Source organism: Homo sapiens, chromosome 14, assembly GCF_000001405.40.
Source record: "Homo sapiens chromosome 14, GRCh38.p14 Primary Assembly".
Lineage (NCBI taxonomy): Eukaryota > Metazoa > Chordata > Mammalia > Primates > Hominidae > Homo > Homo sapiens.
The window spans coordinates 64,681,997-64,703,976 of NC_000014.9; the positions used below are offsets into that span (position 1 = coordinate 64,681,997).

Below are 21,980 nucleotides of genomic sequence, written 5' to 3' on the forward strand. Positions count from 1 at the left end.
GAGAGGGAAGCTGAGGGCCGGGGGCAGGGGGAGGGGGAATGATTTAAGGGCACCCCCAAAGAAGTCCTCCTGAGATTTCTTTTGAGACGGCGTCTCACTCTGTTGCCCAGGCTGGAGTGCAATGGCACGACCTCCTGAGATTTTTACAGGGACCCGTTTCACATAAGAGGTCTGCTTTGGTAGTTCAGGCCTGCAAGGACTGTGGGTCTTGGCAGAGAGAGGAGGCACTGTTATTTTTTCTTCTGAGGCCATGTGAACGGGGCAGGCCGTGTGCATAGTTTCCATGGCATAATCTGACTATAAAGCCCTGTGTGTCTGTGGGGGAGGGACAAGGAGAGGCCCTCGGCCCAGCCTCAGTCAGAGCTGGGCATGGGCCCAGGAGGCACATTCCCTCCCAATTCCTGCAAGGTCCCGAGCCGTGGGCAGGGCAGGGCTGGCCGGAGCTCTGGAAGCTCATTTGGTTGCTGACTGGGGTGAGGGTGTTAGCTCTTCCAGATGCCAGGACATGAGACAAAGGAAAGGTAATCTCCCAAGAACTGGGCCAGGCTGAGGCTCAGGCAGAACACAGGATGTGAATTCACTGGGAGGCACAGCAAAGGCAGGCGAAGGAAGGCCTCCTTGTCTGCACCTGGCTACTGCCTCCTACCTGCAAAACAGAAGCTACTGCCAGGCTGGCCGGGGCCCAGCCCTGAGGAGGAAACTGAACAGGATCATTCGCCTAGAGTGATTGTCAGCGGGTTCACCAGACACCTTTCTCTGCTGGAGAAAGGATGCCTCTAAAGAAAAGAGGCCACTCTGTTAGCCTCTCCAAAACTGCGGCTTCCTGGACAGAAGTCAGGGATGCAGAGCACAGGCTAGTATTTATTAGGCAGCTACTAGGTACCAGGCTCTGTGCTAAACATTTTGCTTTTCTAATTTATTTGGAACAATATAGATTAATAATCATTATGACAGCTAATATTTCTTGAGTGTCTACCAGGGATCTGACATCAATTCCTTTAATCCTCCCAAACCTCCCTATCTATGGGTTGAGGGAAACTATGCCTTATCTGCAATTTTGCTATAAATCACCCAGCCAGCGAATGCCCCAGTGGGGATTTGAACTACACACCATCTCCTCATAACCACTGATTTTCCTGACAAATCCTGGCTGTAGATTCTGTGACGCCCTATGCCAGGGTCTTTGAAAAAGTTCCTACCGCTCCGAATTACCCATTTTGTCCCAAAGCCCCCACCTCGGCCTGCTTCCCGTTTCTGCCCTGGCTCCTTGGGGCCTCTAAGACTGGAGTCTCAAAGCGGCTCTGTCCCTAGAGGGTGGTTGTCCCTTCGCCCGCTCTGGGTTTGTTATGACGTACTGGTCGGCAGCCCCAGGCCGCAGAGGTTGCCCAAGACAATCATGCTTTTCTGAGAGGCAGGCTGTGCTGCGAGTCTCAGGCCGCAGCCGCACACACAATGCCCTCTGTCTCCGCTGGGGCAGAAAGGCGCATTATTGCGGGTCAGGTGACTCTGGCTCCACTGGCCGTGATGTTTGTGCTCCACATCTCCCACGAGGCACCTCCCCACGATGGCAAGCATGGCCAGGGGCTGGGCAGGGAGGGGGCACAGGGGCACTCAGGGCCTGGGTGTCCCTTCCCCTGGAGGTCCCTGCCTCACTTCCCCTATCAGACCTGTCCCTCACCCTCCATCCCCACCTGTAGGTCCTTCCCCTGGGTCCCAGGTCTCCCTCTCCTAAGCCTTTTGAGTGCTAGAATTTATTTATTTACTTGTGACAAGGTCTCACTCTATCGCCCAGGCTGGAGGGCAGTGGCATGATCTCAGCTCACTGCAACCTCTGTCTCCTGGGTTCAAGCGATTCTCGTGCTCAGCCTCCCCAGTAGCTGGGACTACAGGCATGTGCCACCACGCTCAGCTAATTTTTGTATTTTTAGTAGAGACAGGGTTTCACCATGTTGGCCACGCTGGTCTCAAAGTCCTGACCTCAAGTGATCCGCCTGCTTTGGCCTCCCAAAGTGCTGGGATTACAGGTGTGAACCACTGCGCCCGGCCTAGAATTTAAATTCCTCTGGGAAAGCACACAGCACCGTGCCTGGCACAGTATGCCCTCCACAACATGGCTTTCTCTTCTGTTTTCCTCTTCCAGTTTCTCATGTTTGGACTTTGTGCAGGTTGGAGATAATTTTGTCATCAGGAATTTTGACAGAGACCCTGAAAACAGCTGTGTTCTTAATAACAATAACAGCCACAGTTTACTAAGCCCTTAGCATGTGGCTGGCAGTGGGCCAAACCCATGGAATCCTCACAACAGGCCTGGGAAGGCGATGCTCTTCCCAGTCCCACTTTAAGAAACAGAGGCTCCTAGCACTTGAGTGACTTGCCCAGGGCGGTGACGCTGGGTGGTGGAGCTGGATTCAGACTCAGTTCCATGCTCCTGACCGGTGTGCTATCGTGCCTGTGTTACTTTCTCAGGGACGTTCTAACAAGCCACCAACATTGGGTGGCTTAGAACATTTACTGTCCCATAGTATGGGAGGCTTGAAGTCTGAGATCAAGGTGTTGGCAGGGTTAGTTCCTTCTGAGGGCTGTGAAGGAGAATCTGACCCAGGCTGCGGGTACACATTCACATGTTTTATTTCACATAGCCACACACATACATGTTTACACACAGTTGTACACATGTGCTTACACAACCACACATACATGCTCTGACCCAGCTTTGGGCGCTTGCTGGCCATCTTTGCTGCTCCGTGGCTTGCAGATGCATCACCCCATATCTGCCCTTATCTTCATAAGGTGTCCTCCCTATGTGTGTGTCTCGAAGTCTAAATTTCCCCCTAAAATTAGGACATCAATCGTACTGGATCAGGGCCCACCCTAACAACCCCATTTTAACTTGATCATCAGCAAAGTCCCTATTTTCAAATAAAGTCACACTCACAGGTACTGGGAGTTAGGACTTCAGTATCTTTTGGGGGGATACAATTCAACCCACAACAGGGCCCTTCCCTGCTTTGTACCTTTGTGGCTTGGGCTTTCTTAGGAGCATTAAAAGGAAGTGGTGCGGCCGGGTGCTGTGGCTCATGCTTGTAATCCCAGCACTTTGGGAGGCTGAGGAAGGCAGATCACAAGGTCGGGAGTTTAAGACCAGCCTAGCCAACATGGTGAAACCCCATCTCCACTAAAAATATAAAAAATTAGCTGGGCGTGGTGGCATGTGCCTCTAATCCCAGCTACTCAGGAGGCGGAGGCAGGAGAATTGCTTGAACCCGAGAGGTGGAGGTTGCAGTGAGCTGAGATCAAGCCACTGTGCTCCAGCCTGGGCAACAGAGCAAGACTCTGTCTCAGAGGGAAAAAAAAAAAAAAAAAGAAGTGATGCTACCCTCAGCTCCAAGGGCAAGATAAGCCCCTTTCCAGGACTCCTTGCACTTGTTCACACAGTATACACACACACACACACACTCACATGCACTCACACACAGAGGTTCAGTAGCCTGGCAAGAACATCAATGCTCAGGATAGATGCTGAACTGCCACATTAACATCTGCATTCCATGGAGACAGTGGAACATCTGGCCAACATGAGGCATGGAGGGTGCCAGGTGCTCCAGCAGGATGAAGAGGAAACTGCCAGCAGTATAGACACTCGCCTTCCCAGCACAGCAGTTTGCACCAGACCACAACAAACCCACTCAAAATATTCTCCACGTCCCCTCCAATCCCCATACCTTCCCTCTATGCCTGCCCACTCCACCATCCCTTCCCTAGGCCTGGGCCCTCCCCACTCTCTGAGGTGGGAGAGGCTGGGGGCTGTGTCTCTGCAGCTCTAGCGTTTGTGTAGGAGTTACTACTTGTGGAGCATGCAGCGCAGAGGGAAACAGCTTGCCAGTGAGACGCAGACACTTCCATCTCCACCTCCAGCTGCACCGAATCAGCTTACATGGTTAATGACTGTTCCTGCTGGGGCTCACCGGACCAGCCCCTACTGTCTGCTGTGGGTGGGTCCAGGAAAGGCCTCCTCCAGGGGTAGCAATGCTGTACCCGAGCTCTGGGCCTGGTGGGTACTTGCCCTGAGGACTTCAGACCCAGGCATGGTGGTGCTCCTCAAGCGACCAGCACCTTGGGCCTTCTCTCCAAGCTCCAGGCCCAGCTGCACTCCAGGCCTGCCCCTGCCTCCTCTCCTCCCCCTGCTCCTGCTCCCACGGCTTTTTGTCTCCTCAGGGGCTCCTCCACCTCTGCAATTGGTTTCTTCCAGGCCAGGCCTCCCAGGCCTCAGGTGCACATCCACACATGCTTTATTTCACATGGTCTCACACATACATGTTCACACGCATTCATACACATGTGCCTTACACAACCACACATGCATGCTCATACACACGCACACACACTTTACACAGTCATACACGGTGTTGACACACTCACATGTGTGCTTTACATAGTCACACATTCACACACATGCTGTATAGTCTTACACGTGCATATTCACACACACGTGTGTTACACAGTCACACACAGTCACATGCTCACACACACTCACACAGGCCTGCATTCTCGCACATGTGCACACATGCACTTAGGTACTTACGTTATTTCTCTAAGTCTGCTTTCTTAGTTGGAACATGAGGATAATTTATTTTCCCATACCCATTTCACAGAGTTGCTAAACTGAAAAAGAGAGTTGAAAGATATCGACTGGCATAAATGAGGCATTTGTTATTATTTATTACAAAATTCAATTTTATTTACATTTAAAAATATGGCCGGGTGCAGTGGCTCATGCCTGTAATCCCAGCACTTTGGGAGGCCGAGGTGGGCGGATCACCTGAGGTCAGGAGTTTGAGACCAGCCTGGCCAACACGGTGAAAGCCTGTCTCTACTAAAAATACAAAACAATCAGCCGGGCATGGTGGTGTGCGCCTCTGTCCTAGCTACTCGGGGGCTGAGACGGGAGAATCGCTTGAACCCGCGAAGCAGAGGTTGCAGTGAGCTGAGATCATACCACTGCACTCCAGCTTGGGTGACAGAGTGGGACTCCGTCTCAAAAAAATAAAAAATAAAATCAATCAATCAATCAATCACACAGTCACATGATTCAAAATTCAAAAGGTAGGGTCAGTCGTGGTGGCACGTGCCTGTAGTCCCAGCTACTCAGGAGGCTGTGGTGGGAGGATTGCTTGAGCCCAGGAGTCTGAGGCTGCAGTGAGCTATGATAGCAACACTGCACTCCAGCCTGGGTGGCAGAGCAAGACCCTGTCTCAAAAAAAAAAAAAGTAGAAAAGTGGTTTCCCTACTATGTGTCTCCAAATCACGTGGTTTTCTTCCCCACAATTAGTGTTACCAGATTCTTCTATTTCTATCAGGAGAGAATTTTACATGTACAAATAACTACATATGTATGTACTCTTCTTCCTTTTTTTTTTTCACAAATGTACACAACATACTGTGTGTGCCTTACTTTTCTCACTTAACAGTACATCTTGGCTGGGCGTGGTGTCTCACACCTGTAATCCCAGCACTTTGGGAGGCCGAGGCGGGCGGATCCCTTGAGGCCAGGAGTTCGAGACCAGCCTGGCCAACATGGTGAAACCCCGTTCTCTACTAAAACATGCAAAAATTAACTGGGCATGGTGGCACAGGCCTGTAATCCCAGCTACTCAGGTGGCTGAGGCATGAGAATCACTTTAACCCGGAAGGTGGAGGTTGCAGTGGGCCGAGATCATGCCACTGCACTCCAGCCTAGGCGACAGAGCAAGACTCCATCTCAAAAAAAAAAAAGAAAACAGACAAAAAAAACAAAAAACAAAAAACAGTACATCTGGAGAGTGTTCTGCATCAGCACATAAAGGGCTTCTGCATTGTTTTATGGCCATAGTAAATTCCATTATATGTAAGTACCATCATTTATTTAACCCAATACTCAATAAACAGGACATTTAGGTTGTTTCCAACATTTTGCTATTTCAAACAAAGCTGGAGTGAAAACCCCTGGATAGACATCCTTTCTCACAGATGTGAGTGTATCCACTAATATTTGAATATATAAAATGGACACCAAAAGCTGCTTTTCTTGGTGTCTGAGTCTCTTTTCCTCCTTAATAGGCACTCACTTGTACAACTTCAGACGGCAAGAAGTCTGGTGGGCATTACTAGGTTGATGCCAAAGTAACTGTGGTTTTTGCCCTTATTTAAAAAAAAAAAAGACAAAAACCACAATTACTTTTGCAACAACCTAATACATACACTGGAGGGCCCTGGGTTGTCCTAGTTCCCTAAACCAACCCAAGAGGACCTTGCTTTGGCTGAAGAGACTGAAGAGACAATCCTTTCCTTTGATTCTCAGCATTTCAGTTGGATTTAGTCTAAATGTAATGAGCTGACGCTGCTTGCATGCAGAAGGACAGAGGTGAGTAAGTTACAGACCTGCTGAGGAGAAGGGCGTTTGCAAACCAAAGAGCATATCAATTCTGCATGTGCCTAGTGCTTCATTCAGTCACCTGCGGTCTTCCAGGCACGGTGCTGGGCATGAAGATGCAGTGGAGACAAGACAAGGTAGGTTCTCCCCTCATAGAGCCTGCAGTCATATATATGATGGAGACAGGCACAGAGCAGACATGATATGAGCTATGACGGAAAAGCAGGAGGAGAAAGAACATTCCTCAGCTTAGGTCAACCCAGCATTTGGAGGCAGAAGGTGGCACCCCTCGGCTCTCTTTCCCGAAGCTCCTTCAGGTTTTCCCTAGAGCCTATGGCTCTTTCCCTAGGGTCTTTTGCCCTGGTTTTCTTTTGACCTCCTGACATCCTTTTTCTCGATTGCTCTGGACAAGTGGAAGCCTGCAAGGCTGTGTTGGGGAGGCGGCTGCTGCCAGCCTGGCACTTCTGGAGCTGCAGCGGCATCTCAGCCTTTTAGCAGTGTTGCCAACATCAGCCTCCGCACACCTTAGTCAGCAGTGAGAGTGGGAGCTGGAAGCGAGGAAAACTTCAGCTGCTACCCACTGCCCTTCCCAGCGGGGCTGGCTGGCGACTGGGAAGTCAGGGAAGAGCTGCCTTCCCCTTCTGCCATGCAGCAGCTCCACCTGCTTGGCGTCCTGTGCTTATAGGAGCTGGCTCACCCTTCCTGACATACAGGAAGGCAGCAATCTGATAAAATGGGTTGCACCAAGGTGTCAGCTGCTTAATGTGGTGGCCCTCCCAGGAAGATATTTGTGGAGAGATTTGCTTAACTGCAAAGGTGTGAATTACTGATTACAGAGGCAAGTCAGGCAGGTGGGAAGAATTTATTTGGGTGGATCACAGGGGACCTTCCCATACTGGCAACGATTGACTTCATTTAGGATGATATTCTCCATAATCTGTGCCCTGATATTATTGTTGTTTTAATTGTGAGAAATTTGTAGAAATTAAACATTTGCATAAGTGTGGGAGATTCTGAGCCCTCGTATTCATCAAACACCTTTGTAACCAGGTATTCTCCACAGCTGATCAAAGGTCGTCTCCCTTATGACAGTGGACCCATAGAGAGGGAACTGTGGTGCTGTCACACTGAGTGAACAATATTGACAAAGTCATAATCATGTAAACATAGTGTATAGGTTTTCAACCTCTAAAATCAATCTATGGTAAAATAAGAAAGACTGAATTAAATGTTATCAACCACAATGATATAAATATAGAAGTAAAACTAACAGAAGTTGGGGATAGGAGGGGACGTCTTGGTAGAAAGACAGATAAGAGTTCAAGTTAACTTATTTTACAAGAGGAGACTATTGAAATTTGACCCAACCAGAAATCAAGCGAGCTTTAAGTACATAGTTAAATGTTACAAAGATAACCAATAGAATAACTGAAAATTGTAAAGTATTAAAAACAAGAGGATTAGAAAGAAAGGTGGGGGTTGGGTGACTGATCTAAAACCTCATTTTAGGCTAGGCACAGGGGCTCATGCCTGTAATGCCAACACTTTGGAGGCTGAGGTGGGTGGATTGCTTTGAGGCCAGGAGTTTGAGACCAGCCTGGGTAATATAGTGAGACCTTGTGTCTACAAAAAAAATTTTTTTTAATTAGCTGATTGTGGTGGTATGTACCTGTAGTCCCAGCTACTTGAGAGGCTGAGGTGGGAGGATCGCTTGAGCCCAGCAGGTAGAGGTTGCAATGAGCAGAGATATCACCACTCTACTCTAGCCTGGGTGATACAGTGAGACCCTATCTCAAAAATAAAATAAAATTAAATTAAATTAAATTAAATTAAATTTTAAAAACACCCTCATCTGCCCCGGTGCGGTGGCTCACGCCTGTAGTCCCAGCACTTTGGGAGGCCGAGGCGGGTGGATTACGAGGTCAGGAGATCGAGACCATCCTGGCTAACATGGTGAAACCCCATCTCTACTAAAAATACAAAAAAAAAATGAGCTGGGCGTGGTGGCGGGCGCCTGTAGTCCCAGCTACTCGGGAGGCTGAGGCAGGAGAATGGCGTGAACCCGGGAGGTGGAGCTTGCAGTGAGCCGAGATTGCGCCACTGCACTCCAGCCTGGGCAACAGAGCGAGACTCCATCTCAAAAACAAACAAAACAAAACAAAACACCCTCATCTTTCTTAGGCAGGAGTCGTAGATATCTGAAGTTGACAGATAAAAATTTAGTAGCAAATTACTTGGTGTTAGGGTAATGATGATCTAAAAGTAGAAAAATCATTTGTCCAGAGACAAATGATTGTCTCTGGAGAGGAGGCCCAGAGTAGGGCGGAGAATTATGGCTTTTTTCTATTCTTATTATATCATGTTTAAATGATGGGCAGGTTATATATTCATAAAACTTGCAGGCTGGGCGCGGTGGCTCACACCTGTAATCCCAGCACTTTAGGAAGTTGAAGTGGGCGGATCACAAGGTCAGGAGTTCGAGACCATCCTGGCCAACATGGTGTAACCCCGTCTCTACTAAACATACAAAAAATTAGCTGGGCATGGTGGCAGGTGCCTGTAATCCCAGATACTTGGGAGGCTGAGGCAGGAGAATTGCTTGAACCCAGGAGACGGAGGTTGCAGGGAGCCAAGATTGTGCCACTGCACTCCAGCCTGGGCGACAGAGTGAGACTCCGTCTCAAAAAACAAACAAACAAACAAACAAAAAAAAGTGCAAGAAGTACTTTTCCAATTTTCCACATTTTTCATAATGGGCATGTATGATAAGAGAATATATGAAAAGCTTGATGATTTTTTTTTTTGAGAGGGTCTCACTCTGTCATCCAGGCTGGAGTGCGGTGGTACCATGAAGGCTCACTGCAACCTCTGCCTCTCCGGCTCAAGCCATTCTCTCACCTCAGTCTCCCGAGTAGCTGGGACTATGGGTGAGCACCATCATGCCCAGCCAATTTTTGTGTTCTTTGTACAGACAGGGTTTCACCGTGTTGCCCAGGCTGGATTTTTTATTTAAAAAAACTTAAATTGTGATAAAACATAAAACTTACCATCTTATCAGTTTTTAAGTCTCTAGTTCAGTAGTGTTAACCATATGCACATTGTTATGTAATAGATTTCTGGAATTTTTTCATCTGGTAAAACTGAAACTCTGTATCCACCAAAGACTAACTCCCTGTTTCCCCTTCCCCTCAGCCTCTGGAAACCACCATTCTACTTTCTGTTTCTATGAGTTTGACTACTTTAGATACCTTATGTAGATGGAATACTGCAATATTTGTCTTTTGTGACTGGCTTATTTCATGTAGCATATTATCCTCAAATGTCATCCGTGTTGTAGCATTGACAGGATTTTTCTTCCTGAATAATGTTTCAGGAATATTCTTCTCAAATAATATTGCTGAATAATATTTCATTGTATACATATATCATATTTTCTTTTAATTTTTAAATTAAATTTTTTTTTTGAGACAGAGTCTTGTTCTGTCGCCCAGGCTGGAGTGCAGTGGCATGATCTCAGCTCACTGCAACCTCCACATCCCAGGTTCAAGTGATTCTCCTGCCTCAGCCTCCTTAGTAGCTGGGACTACAGGTGTGCGCCACCACACCCAACTAATTTTGTATTTTTAGTAGAGACGAGGTTTTACCGTGTTGGCCAGGCTGGTCTCAAATTCCTGACCTTGTGATCTGCCCACCTCGGCCTCCCAAAGTGCTAGGATTACAGGCATGAGCCACTGCGCCTGGCCCATATTTTCTTTATCCATCCAACCATCCATGGACATTTGAGTTTTTCCCCCTTATTGGCTATCGTGAATAATGCTGCAATGAATATGGCTGTGAAAGCTTAATTTATTTTTTTAAAAAGGACACCTCCAAATAGATGTGGAAGCTATGGTCAGAGAAAGCTCAGAACTTGTGTAAGTCCCTCCTGTGCCAGTGCAAGCCCGGGCATGAGCTCAGGTCCTGCCTTCACCCTCCTCACAGCTGGGAGTTGGTCAAGGTCCTACCTCTTGGGATGGTTCACCCTGTAAGCTAGAGGAAGAGTGAGACAGGGAAGGTGCACAGAAAGGAGCCAAGTTGACATCAGCCTGGCACATGGTCCTCTTTGTCATCCATCAGCCTCTGCAGTATTTCCCACAGTCGGGTTCTCCCAGCCCTGTCCCCACCAGCCCAGTGCCCTGGTCTGGCTTCTGGTGGCTGTGAGCAGCTGGGATCTGAGTTTAATGGAAGTAACCATCTTATTTTCTTATAAATTCACTGTTTCTTTTAGTCTTTTCAGGACTAGTTTAGGTCTCTCTTGGGTTAGCAGAACCCATCCATCTAGTCACTGGCTGTCCTGATAGAGCAGGTCCCTTTCTAGGCTGGAGGCTGTGGGTGGGGCCCAGCATCACTCCTACTATCTAGCTTGGATGGTTTCCCACTGTGTTAGGTGGCAGCTTGTTCCTGGACAGGAAATTATTTAAGTTCAGCTTTTCCTCTGCTGATCTGGGAGGCACTCAGTTAACACACACATAACTGAAATCCTGGAGGGACTGGACTATTGATGGACATGGACGTGTGACTTTGGGTCCTCAGGCACAGCGTGAGATACTTTCCATAGAAGAGGAAGAGTATGGGATGTGGGGTCTCCAAAATCATGGGGGAGATTTCCTGTGGGGCTATTGGAAGGTGTGGAAGGTATTTCCTTCCTCACTGGACCATGGTTTTGGGGCCACCTGGTAGCCTCAGATGACCTTTTTTGAAGTCCTTTTCCGAGGCAGTGACTCTCAGAATTCTGAACACTTGCCAGAGTTCAGGCAGCTGGTGTCTGTGTCTAGGAAGAAGGTTGACACTATGGTCTCCCCTGTTTCCCATTCTACACCATCTGCTTTTCCTGGCTTGATCACCGATTGGGATGTTCTGTTCTAATTTATCCTGTCTTTTTCTCTTCCAAGCCCTGGAGGTAGGTAAAGGAAGGATGTTCACTGAGGCTTAGTGTGTAACATACAGTCACTAGCTGCATTTGGCTATTGAAATTTTAAACCAGTTTCAGTTAAATAGAATAAAAAATTCAGTTCCTCAGTTGCACCCAGTTGCCACAGTGCTCAATAGTCACATGTGGCAATGGGCATTGCAGATGTAGAACATTTCACCATCGTGGAAAATTCTGTAGGACATTGCTGCCCTGAGCCTCTGCTCCCTTTTCTCCTCTATTATTCTGACCTGGAGAATTGGAAGCTGCTACTCCATTAGGCTGTGGGGCCCGGAACTCACTGCCTATTGAGAATTCAAAAGCAGAGAATGAGCAGGGTGGAAATGCCTTCAATATCCACTTAATATTCAGTCCAGGGCAGCGTTAGGCTCTGAAGTCTTCTGAGTGTGACATCTATAGTTTAAAAGCTGCCCCCCAAGCCCTTTGAGTTCTGGCCTGCAGCAGGGATTTCTGTTCTGCTTACCTGCTCATCACCAAATCCATTTAAGGCACCTTCTCGGCTGTGAGCATGTGCCAGCCTAACCTGGTCTTCTGATCTCGGTTCCTTTCCTAAAACACCACATGACCTTGGATGTTTATGCTGGTGCCACCCCTGCTGCAGTGCCTTGTGGTAGGCAGCTGTCTGTACACAGGCTCTCCTGGGAATTCTTTTTACTCTGTGAAAAGATTCTGGCCACTGGGGTTGGCAGGAAGCAGGGACCTGTGTCTTTCTGGGGAGTTTGTAACAGGGATGAGGTTTTCCAGAACAAGATATCATAGCCTTGCTTTCTTCCCCAGACCAGCCAGAGGTTGTCCTTTTAGTCTTTTGGGTCCACTCCCATGGCACCATTTATTTCCTATGTGACAGCCAACTTCAGGCCTCCCCAGGGAACCCATTTCACCTGCTTTGTCTAGGATATCAAGAAGGAGCTAAGAAGAGAGGCCAGAGAGAAACTTCCTCTCTTTCTACTGGGTTGCTAAGCTCAGAGACTATGAGTGTAGGGTTGCCAGAAGCCATCCTCCTTGCCTTACCAGGAGAGCCAGCCTGTGAAGTAGATCTCAGTAGAGTAGCAAAAGGGAGAGAAAAGGGAGCCCTGAAATATTATCAGGGCTCCTAGAACGAACTGTGTTGTAATACTTTGCAAATGAATAGACCTCTATGCCTAGACTTTGCAGTTATGAGACCATCAATGCCCTTTCTGTTTAAGTTAGTTTGAGTTGAGTCTCTGTCATTTGCTGCGAAAGTATTAGGGTCACCAGGCCAGAAAATTTTTGGGGAGGATGCCTCTGTTTGAAGACCAAGTTCAGGTTGTGGCCAGACTGAAATTACAAGTGACCCAGAGGCCAATCTTATTCACGGGTTTGCCTTCCTGAAACTCTTCTGCTCTGGATATTTCCTTCTCTTCAGCTCCCCAAATCCTCCCCATCAGTCAAGACCCTGGTTAGACTCCTCCCCGTCCAAAGCCTTCTCTGACCATCTCTGCCTGCACTGAACTCTCTACCTTTTGCCTTCTATTACCAATTATGATTATCAAGGAATTGTGAACTGTCTTATAGGATGTCTGCTTTCATTGTGTAGCATGGCACTTTAATAATTTTACTGTTTACAGTTTGCTACCTTCTCCCACCAGGTCAATGTCAGAGACAGGGTCTGATGCTTTTGTGTTCCTGGCAGGAGCCAGCATAATGTCTGGCATATAACAGACCTCATTGAATGTTTGGGGATTAGAAAATTAGTGGAAACATGATTTTAAGGTAGAAAACAGCTGGGATCTCATCATGTGAGAGCTATTGCAATGTGTATACAGCTCTTTTTAGTTGAGAGATAAGCACTCAACTTAAGCGCCCAGAATGACAGTGGGTTGCATTCCTCTATTAAGGCTATCTGGTCTCTTACCAGAGAACTCTTTCATATCAGGGAGTGGGGCTGGAGGAAGGGGAAGAGTAGGGACAGGGGGAGGGTAGGAGTGGCTCTGAATCAGCTCCTCTTTGGAGCTCCAGAATTGCCTCAGGAGCCACACTGGAGAAACTGGAATACTCATTCCACTGTCACTCTTCATTCTGGATCCAGTTTAAACAGCTGGAGATGACATTTCCACCAGACGTGGGTCTGAATGGCATTCTGCTATTTCCCATACATCCTGCCCCAACATTAAGCAGTCCAGGATTTGCCAGCATTGAAGCCATTAAAAATAATTTAAATAACTTTTGAGTGACAAGAAGATCCTTGAGATAAGCCTATATCCTCGTTCTTTGAAAACAATACTATTTGAGTATATGGATTCTGGGTCATCATTAAAAAGGGAGAGAATCTCTCTCCTCCTTTCAAGTGTGATAATAGTCACACCTGAAAATGCGGCACCGTTAGGCCCTAAACTATTCTCTAATTGTTTTCTGGCTCTTCTCTTTTTGATTTGGTTATAAATTTCCCTCCTGGGGAAATATCATGTCTTATACTAAGTGTACATCTCCCAGCAACCAGGATGCTCAATAAGTGACTATTGGATGAATGCATATTTACCTAGACAAACAAACAACAAAACCCCCTAACATTTATTAAGCACTTACTATATCCAAGGCACATACTAAGTACTTTACTGCTATTATTTCATTCTTAGAGATGTATATGTGTGAAAATCACAAAGGGAAAAAATAATTATATTAGGGTGACTTCTAGGGCTTCTTTCAGCTATAAGATGCCCTGACTTGATGTGGCATTAAGGAAACTAAGATATTGAGGTGGGGCTTGGGAACCTAACACTTATCAGCAGAACTATAAATAATATTATTAGCGACCTCTTTCTGTGAGCTAGGAACTATGCCAAGTATCTTAAAAATATTTTCTCATTTATTCCCAAACAGCAACACTATATGATAGGCACTACTGCTAACCCCATTTTTAGAAGGGGAGAGTGAGGCACGAGGAGATTAAGTGGCTAGTCTAAGAAGCAGTGCTAGCACCCAGGGCTATGGTGTCTTAACCACCATGCTCCTGAAGAGACACCAAAGCCCTCCATACCTGAGAAGGTGTATTTCCACTGGGCCACAGGGATGCAGGGGAGGGGGAGGAGGGAACGTTGCCATAGAAACAGCAGGATCCTCTCTCAGGAGGGTTGGCACATAGGGCAGCTGGGGCTGAGGAAGGCTCTGGAGATAATTCCGGGGCATCCAGCCTCTTTAGATCTGCAAGAGTCTGTGAGCCCAGTAGGAAGCCAACTCCCCACTCCACTCAGCAGCACTTGGTAAACCTCAGCTTTGCTCCCCAGAAGGGTAGGACAGGATGTTCTTTGAGTTATAGCAGCAGGACTATTAGGCAGCAGAGCTGTGATTAGGGCATAAAAGTCTGTGGTTGCCAGGCACAAACCGTGCTTCACCTTTTATAGCCAGCTAGCTTGAGATGTCAAAAGTATTTAGAGACTTTTGCTTTTTTTCTCTACTCATCAACTTTATGACCCTAAACGCATTCTTCCTTCTCTTTCTGTCACACATTTACCAGTCCCTGAACCGAGTTTGTAACTCACTTGTGAGTCTAGAAGGCTTTCTGAAGAGCTTTAAGTTATTTCAAATCAGATTGGTTGGGCAGAGTAGAGAGTGGGGGCATTTCTTTCTTTCCTTCTTTTTTTTTTTTTTTTTTTTTTTGAGACAGAGTCTTGCTCTGTCGCCCAGGCTGGAGTGCAGTGGCGCGATCTCGGCTCACTGCAAACTTCGCCTCCCTGGTTCAAGCAATTCTCTGCCTCAGCCTCCCGGGATTCCAGGCACCCGGCACCACACCCAGGTAATTTTTGTATTTTTAGTAGAGACAGGGTTTCACCTTCTTGGCCAGGCTGGTCTCGAACTCCTGACCTTGTGATCCACCCACCTCAGCCTCCAAAGTGCTGAGATTACAGGTGTGAGCCATTATGCCAGGTAGGGGCATTTCTTTTTTGGGTTTATTTTGCTTCAGTTACTCCCAGCTTCTCTGCTCTGGCCTAGTGGCTGGCTCCTTGGGAGCTGGGGTGGGGTATTTTGGTGGTAGAATGGTGGCTAAGAGCATAGGTTTAGGCTGCAGAGGGTCCTGGGTCATGTCCTGACTCTACCATTAAGGACCACATGACTTGGGACCTGTGACTTAACCTCTCTGAGTCTCAATGTTCTCATCTGTAAAATGAGAGAGAATGATCACCTGCCTCAAATGATTGTTTTGAAGATGGGGTGAGAATACTTATGAAGCCCTTAGCCCTGTTCCTGTCACCATTCTATCCCCTAATTTTCTCAGCAGACCTAAGACAGCCACAGGCCTGGGATGAGGGTATCTGAAGGAGGGTTTATGAAGCCAGGTTTTTCTCCCTAGATAAACTTGGAGGTCAAGGATAAAGACAGCTTGTTGTAGCAGAAAGATCCAGTTTGAGGTTTCTTAAGCTGGTAGAATCCAAGACTCGCAGGATTAGAAGAGATCCTGGAAATCCTGTAAGACTGAGAAGATGGCAGCTTTGTTGCAGGAAGGTGGAAAAGATAGTGAACCAGGATGACCTCCACAAAGTACCACTCATGAAGGCAATTGAGGTTTTGATGGGAGTGCCTGGAGGCCAAGAGTAGGATGGGGCCATGTGGGGTCTTTGAGCTCAGTCACTGTTCGAGTGAAAGCACAAAGTTACTTTATCCTCCCTTGGACCAATTCCTCATTTTTCCAGGAGGAGTTGCTGGTGACTTAGGAAACCTGATGGAATAGGTCCCAGTTGCCCTAATCGGGTTATAACCAACCCATGTTTCCCGTATGGCCTGGCACAGAAACCAAAAGAAGGTTGTGCAGATCTGGGGGTCACAGCTGTCCTGTCCTCTTTGAACAAACTAGAGAAGGCTAAGAGGAAAACATCAACAACCAAAATTACAGTCAGGAAGAAGTGCCTCCATCTGCAAGTAACTGGGCAATTACCTGCTAATTAAGCTCTCAGTTTGTTTTCTGAGGCTTAAAGTGTAGTACTTGGTAGATGTGCCCTGCCCTGCTTGTCACCAAGGTGTTGAAGATGAAGCATTTCACATGAATCAAGATGGAACTCTTCCATCTGATTAAATATAATAGCTTGATTTATTTCAACATCATGAGGTCTTAAAAGCAATGCCCTTTTATAGTTGGAGCACTGGGAGGGATTGCAGGGTTTTGAGTCCTCTGTATCTGCGGGTGGCGGTGGGGGAAGAGAACGCACCAAGAAGGGAATAGACACGCAGAATACACACCAGTGTTTGTCAAAGTATGGACTGTGGATTTATCTCTTTTGCATCTGAATCACCTGCCCATTATGAATACAGATTCCTGGGTCCACATCGGTCCCAAGTCAGACATTTTCCACATGATTCTTCAGAACATCCAGGTCTGAAAATCTCAGGTAGGGGTGGAAAGTCTTCTGGGGATATTAACATTGATCTATGAAGTCCACAGACCAATCAAAACACCATTTCAGCCAATAGTGTCTACACATACCCCAGGAAATCTTTTGCTTTAGCATTAAACAGATGATGGTTCCATGTTTATACCTCATCTCCCTATAGGTGGAGATGCAAATAGAAAAGCAGCCCAGCATCCCGAAGCCAGCGAAGAAACAGCACGCCTGTGTAAAAATTAACCCCCAGATCATCAAAGGCAGGCGTCTGCGTGCCAACTCCCTAGTCTCAGGTGTTGTAAATGCTGACTACTGCCAGTTTATCTACTGATAACGAAGGTGAACATAAGCAATCTCCAGAAATCGTTCACATGGGGCTCCCAGGTTCTTGAAAAACCACAAGAGATTGACAAATGCTTCTATTGTAGACACAAATGCAAACAAACAGCTCATTTCCTCAAGAGCTCCCCACTGCAGTGGCTGTAAACAGTATAGGGAAGGAGGGGAGAAGTCTTCTTTTCCCTTCCCCCACAGCTTCTTCCCCTTTCTGATGTCAGATTTTTCTGACACTAAGAAGTCCAGACTAGGGGAAAGAAGCTATTAATACAGAACTTCAGGAAGGGGATCCCCTTCCCCCAGAGGCCGCAGTTCTTTCAAAGTTTGTTACAAACCCTCCTTTTTTCTAGTTTCAGAGAGTCTGGGGCCCTAAAGCTTTGAATCCCTGAGTCTTCTGAGACATTGTGTTACAGTGCTTCTCAAACTTCATTCAGTGTGCTCTGGTGAAACACAGAGCTGGGTCCTGCCCACCAAAGATTCCAGCAGATTGTAATAGATTGTGATTATAGGCAGCCCCCAATACTCAGGAACAGGGGGTAGTAGCTCACATTAAATTAAAAAAATGCGGCCGGGTGCTGTGGCTCACGCCTGTAATCCCAGCACTTTGGGAGACCAAGGCGGGAGGATCACCTGAGGTCAGGAGTTCAAGACCTGCCTGGCCAACATGGTGAAACCCCACCTCTAGAAAAAATACAAAAATTAGCCGGGCATGATGGCGGTGCCTATAATCCCAGCTACTTGGGAGGATGAGGTGGAAGAATCGCTTGAACCCGGGAAGTGGAGGTTGCAGTGAGCCAAGATCGTGCCATTGCACTCCAGCCTGGGCGACAAGAGCGAAACTCCTTCTCAAAAAAAAAAAATGTTTTATTGAGATATATTTCACATACCATACGATCCTCCCATTTAAAGGTTTTTTTTTTTTTTTTTTTTTTTTTTTTTTTGGAGACGAGGGAGTCTCGCTCTGTCACCCAGGCTGGAGTGCAATGGCACGATCTTGGCTCACTGCAACCTCCACCTCCTGGGTTCAAGCAATTCTCCTGCCTCAGCCTCCTGAGTAGCTGGGAATAAAGGTGCATTCCACCACACCCGGCTACTTTTTGTATTTTTAGTAGAGACGGGGTTTCACTATATTGGTCATTTAAAGTTTTTTAGTATATTCAGAGTAGTGCAACCATCAGAATATTTTACAAGATTTGTATCACTCCTAAAAAGAACCCTGAACCCGTCAGCAGTCTCTCCCTATTTCTTCTAACTTTCCTCAATCCCAGCCCCAGCCCCAGGAAACCAGGAATCTACTTTCTCTCCGTATGGATTTGCCTATTCTGGAGAGTTCATATAAACGGAAGTATACAGCATTTGACCTTTTGTGACTGGCTTCTTTCACTTACTATAATGTTTTCAGTGTTCATCTATGCATCAATACTTCATTCCTTTTTATGGCTGAATAATATTCCACTGTACAGATACACCACATTTTGTTTATTCATTCATCAGCTGATGAACATTTAGGTTGTTTTTCTTTTTTTTGAGACAGAGTCTTGCCTTGTCATCCATGCTAGAGTGCAGTGGCATGATCATAGCTCACTGCAGCACTGACCTGGGCTCAAGCTATCCTGCTGCCTCAGCCTCCCAAGTAACTGAGACTGCAGGAAAGCACCACAACACCCAGCTAATTAAAAAAAATTTTTTTTTTGTAGAGGTGGGGTGGGGTCTTGTTATGTTGACTAGGCTGGTCCTGAACTCCTGGGCTCAAGTGATCCTCCCACCTTGGCTTCCCAAAGTGCTGGGAATGCAGATGTGAGCCACCACTCCTGGCCTGGTTGTTTCTACTTTTTGGTTTTTATGTATTAGCCATGAATTAATGCTGCCATGAACAGTTGTGTACAACTTTTTGTATGAACAGGTGTTTTCGTTTCTCCTAGGTATATAGCTAGCAGTGAAATTGTGGAGTCAAGTAGTAAATCTATGTTTAACCTGTTGAATTGCGCCACTGCACTCCAGTCTGAGTGACACAGTGAGGTCCTGTCTCAAAAAAACAAAACCAAGAAACACCTTTTGAGAAACTGCCAGACTGTTTTCCAAAGCAGCTGCACCACTTTACATTTCTGCCAGCAGTGCAAGAGGGTTTCAATTTCTCCACATCCTGGCCAACATTTATTATTACCTGCCTTTGATTATCGGCATCCCAGTGGGTATGAAATGGTATTTCACTATGTTTTTAATTTGCATTTTCCTGATGGCGAACACTATTGGGCATCTTTTCTCATGCTTATTGGCCATTTGTATGTTTTCTTTGGAGAAATGTATATTCGGATCCTTTGTCCATTTTTAAACTGGGTTATTTGCCTTTATTAAATTGTAGGAGTTCTTTATGTATTTCCGTAAGTTTCTTATCAGATATATGAATTGCAAAAATTTCCCCCCATTTTTTGGGTTGTCTTTTCACTTGATGTCCTTTGATGCATAAAAGTTTTAAATTTTGGTGAAGTCCAATTTATCTTTTTCTTTCCTTTGTTGCATGTGGCTCACATTTTTGAGAAATGTTGCTAAAATGCAACTTGGAACTCTGGAAGCTTTGAGATCTCAGAGCTTGGTGGGGCTTTTCAGGTCACTTTTGAGGGGGATTTTCTCCATGTTTGAGGTTTCATTCCTCCATCCCAGCCAGGCATGGCTCCTCTGAGCCAGGAGCACAGAGCCCCAGGGAACCTTTACTAGGCTTACGTTCCCTCCCTCTCCTGAGGTCTGCCACAATAGAGCAGCTGAAATGACAGTCTGGAAATGTCCTTTATTGTGAAAACTCAATGGCTTTTGTCTCTGGGATTTGAAATTTTCATGCAAGTATTGGCAGCCAAGAATTAGGAAGGAGGAGGGGAAGAGATGGGGGAGTAAACCCTGCCACTAATTTCCATAGTGAATCATCTCAATTCTCTGTTGTCTTGGTTTTCTCATCCAAACAGTTGGGAAAATACCTCCATCTCCTCATCTCAGCTGGGGTACTGTGAAAGTGAGTTCACCTGTATTTGTTAGAACACCTTGAGATCTTGGATTAAAGGCATTGCTGAGACACAAGGTATTATAATAATAATAAATGATTTAATAGCAGGGTGAGGCCATTGCAACAAGAACTGGTAGGAAGAGGCTCCGAGCTGTGGAGGGGCTGCAGCCTGGAGCCCCTGGCCCTTGACACAGGGTTTTATTATCGGAGGAGAGACTGTGCGATTTCTCACAAACTCTTTAGATTGTTTCAGTTGAATTCAGCATTGTTTTACTGAGTGCTTCCTATATGACTTCTACCACAGGGAGATTACAATCTTTTTAGGAAGTAGGTGATATAAATTAAAACAATTATTAATAGAAACAATATATTATAATCAAGTGAATTGGGCATAACAAGTGTCAGAAAGAAACTGGAAGCAGTGATGGTGAAGGGCAGAATTCCCTGTTATGACTTCCAGGTCTACCACCCACTAGCTGTGTGACTTTGCCTCAGTTTCCTTTTCTGTTACTGCAATTGTTTTTGTAAAGTACTTAGAAGAATGGCTAATACATAGTAAGCACACTCATAGTAAGCACACACCCATCTAGGCACTTGCCCGACACTGCTTTTGCTGGTTGTGTAATCTTTGCCAAGTTGCTCCTTGCCCCTAAGCCTCAGTGTTCTGTCTGCAAGATGGGGATTAGGATATCTCCTACCTCGCAAGGTGGCTGTGAGGATCCAGGGACACAGTTTGTTAAGAGTGTAGCACAGGCCCTCTGCATGGTAAGCATTCACTAAAGGACAGTTATGACTGCCACTAACACTGTAACGTGTCCTGGCTAAGGAGTGAAGGGTCGCTCACAAGTGGCTAAGTCAGGGGGCTTCTTTGGAAGCTGGAATTTGAAGCGGACCGGAAGGCATTCGTAAGATTCAGGTGATCAGATAAGAAAGCATAAACAAAAAAAGGTGAAAGCCTGAGGTTGGAAGGGGTGACCACAAGTCCTGGAAGGCCAGAAGGGGGACTTGTCACTTCTCCCCTGGCCGGCGGGGTCTAGCGGAGCCCCAACTAAGTTGATCTATTTCCGAGCCCCTCTTCTGCAATCTCTGCTCTCACCTTCACGGTCCGCGAGTCTGGGGCTCTGCAAGCCTCCAACACACCCTCCCTCCCTAAGGAATGTGGGCCCCGCTTTCTGGGCCTGCCAGACCGAGCGCCTACCGCTTCCTCCGCAGGCAGGAGCCGGGACGCTGCCTTCACCCCACCCTCCGCCAGGATCCAGTTTCAAAGTCACCTGAAAGCCATTTCCTTCCGCGCCTGCCCCGCCTCTCCCCTCCCAGTAGATCACCTGGAGCTTGCATTTGCCCAGAGCAGCATTTTGGGGCGGGCGCTTGTTTTGTTTTAAATGATACCTCTAGAAATCGTTTGCTGTACACCTGGATAACAAATATACCCCGTGGTTCTAATATCAGCGTCCTATTCCTCCTCCCAAGGAACTAGTGATAGCGCCTAACCAGTGGGCGTTGTTCCTCTTCCGGAGCCCCACTCTGGGCTTCCCTCCTCCGGGCTTGTTGTTCTTCAGGATCTTTACTGATGAATTATTATGGGTTTTTGGATTTATGCTCTTGCTCAAAATGTATTGAATGTCTCTGTCCCCCATCCTCACCCCTTGCCCCCCAGTTTCCAGGTGTGTACCTTTCCATGCATACACGGTCATATACAGAGACATAAAGACAAACGGTTCTCTTTGTTTTATAAAAACGGGTCCTCTATCATCCAGGTTTCTGTGTTTTATTTTTCCTATTTAACAGTTCCTTGTGGAGTTGCCTTCACGTTGTCTCCTTTATCTCTTTCCCGTCAGCTTCTCAGAGGTCTGCATTTACCACTGTAAAGCGTCACAGGGACCGAGTTATGGTGAGGAATTCAAGACATGCCTTTCTGACTTGGAAAAGCGGACA

The 21,980-nt window shown here is 46.7% G+C and overlaps 1 annotated feature.

Annotated features, from left to right (window-relative positions):
* Positions 20,707-21,208: an enhancer, noted in NCBI's record as "H3K4me1 hESC enhancer chr14:65169421-65169922 (GRCh37/hg19 assembly coordinates)". NCBI's record gives its function as "activates a minimal SCP1, AML or CMV promoter by ChIP-STARR-seq in naive H9 embryonic stem cells {active_cell/tissue: H9 hESC(naive)}" and the evidence as "EXISTENCE:reporter gene assay evidence [ECO:0000049][PMID:30033119]".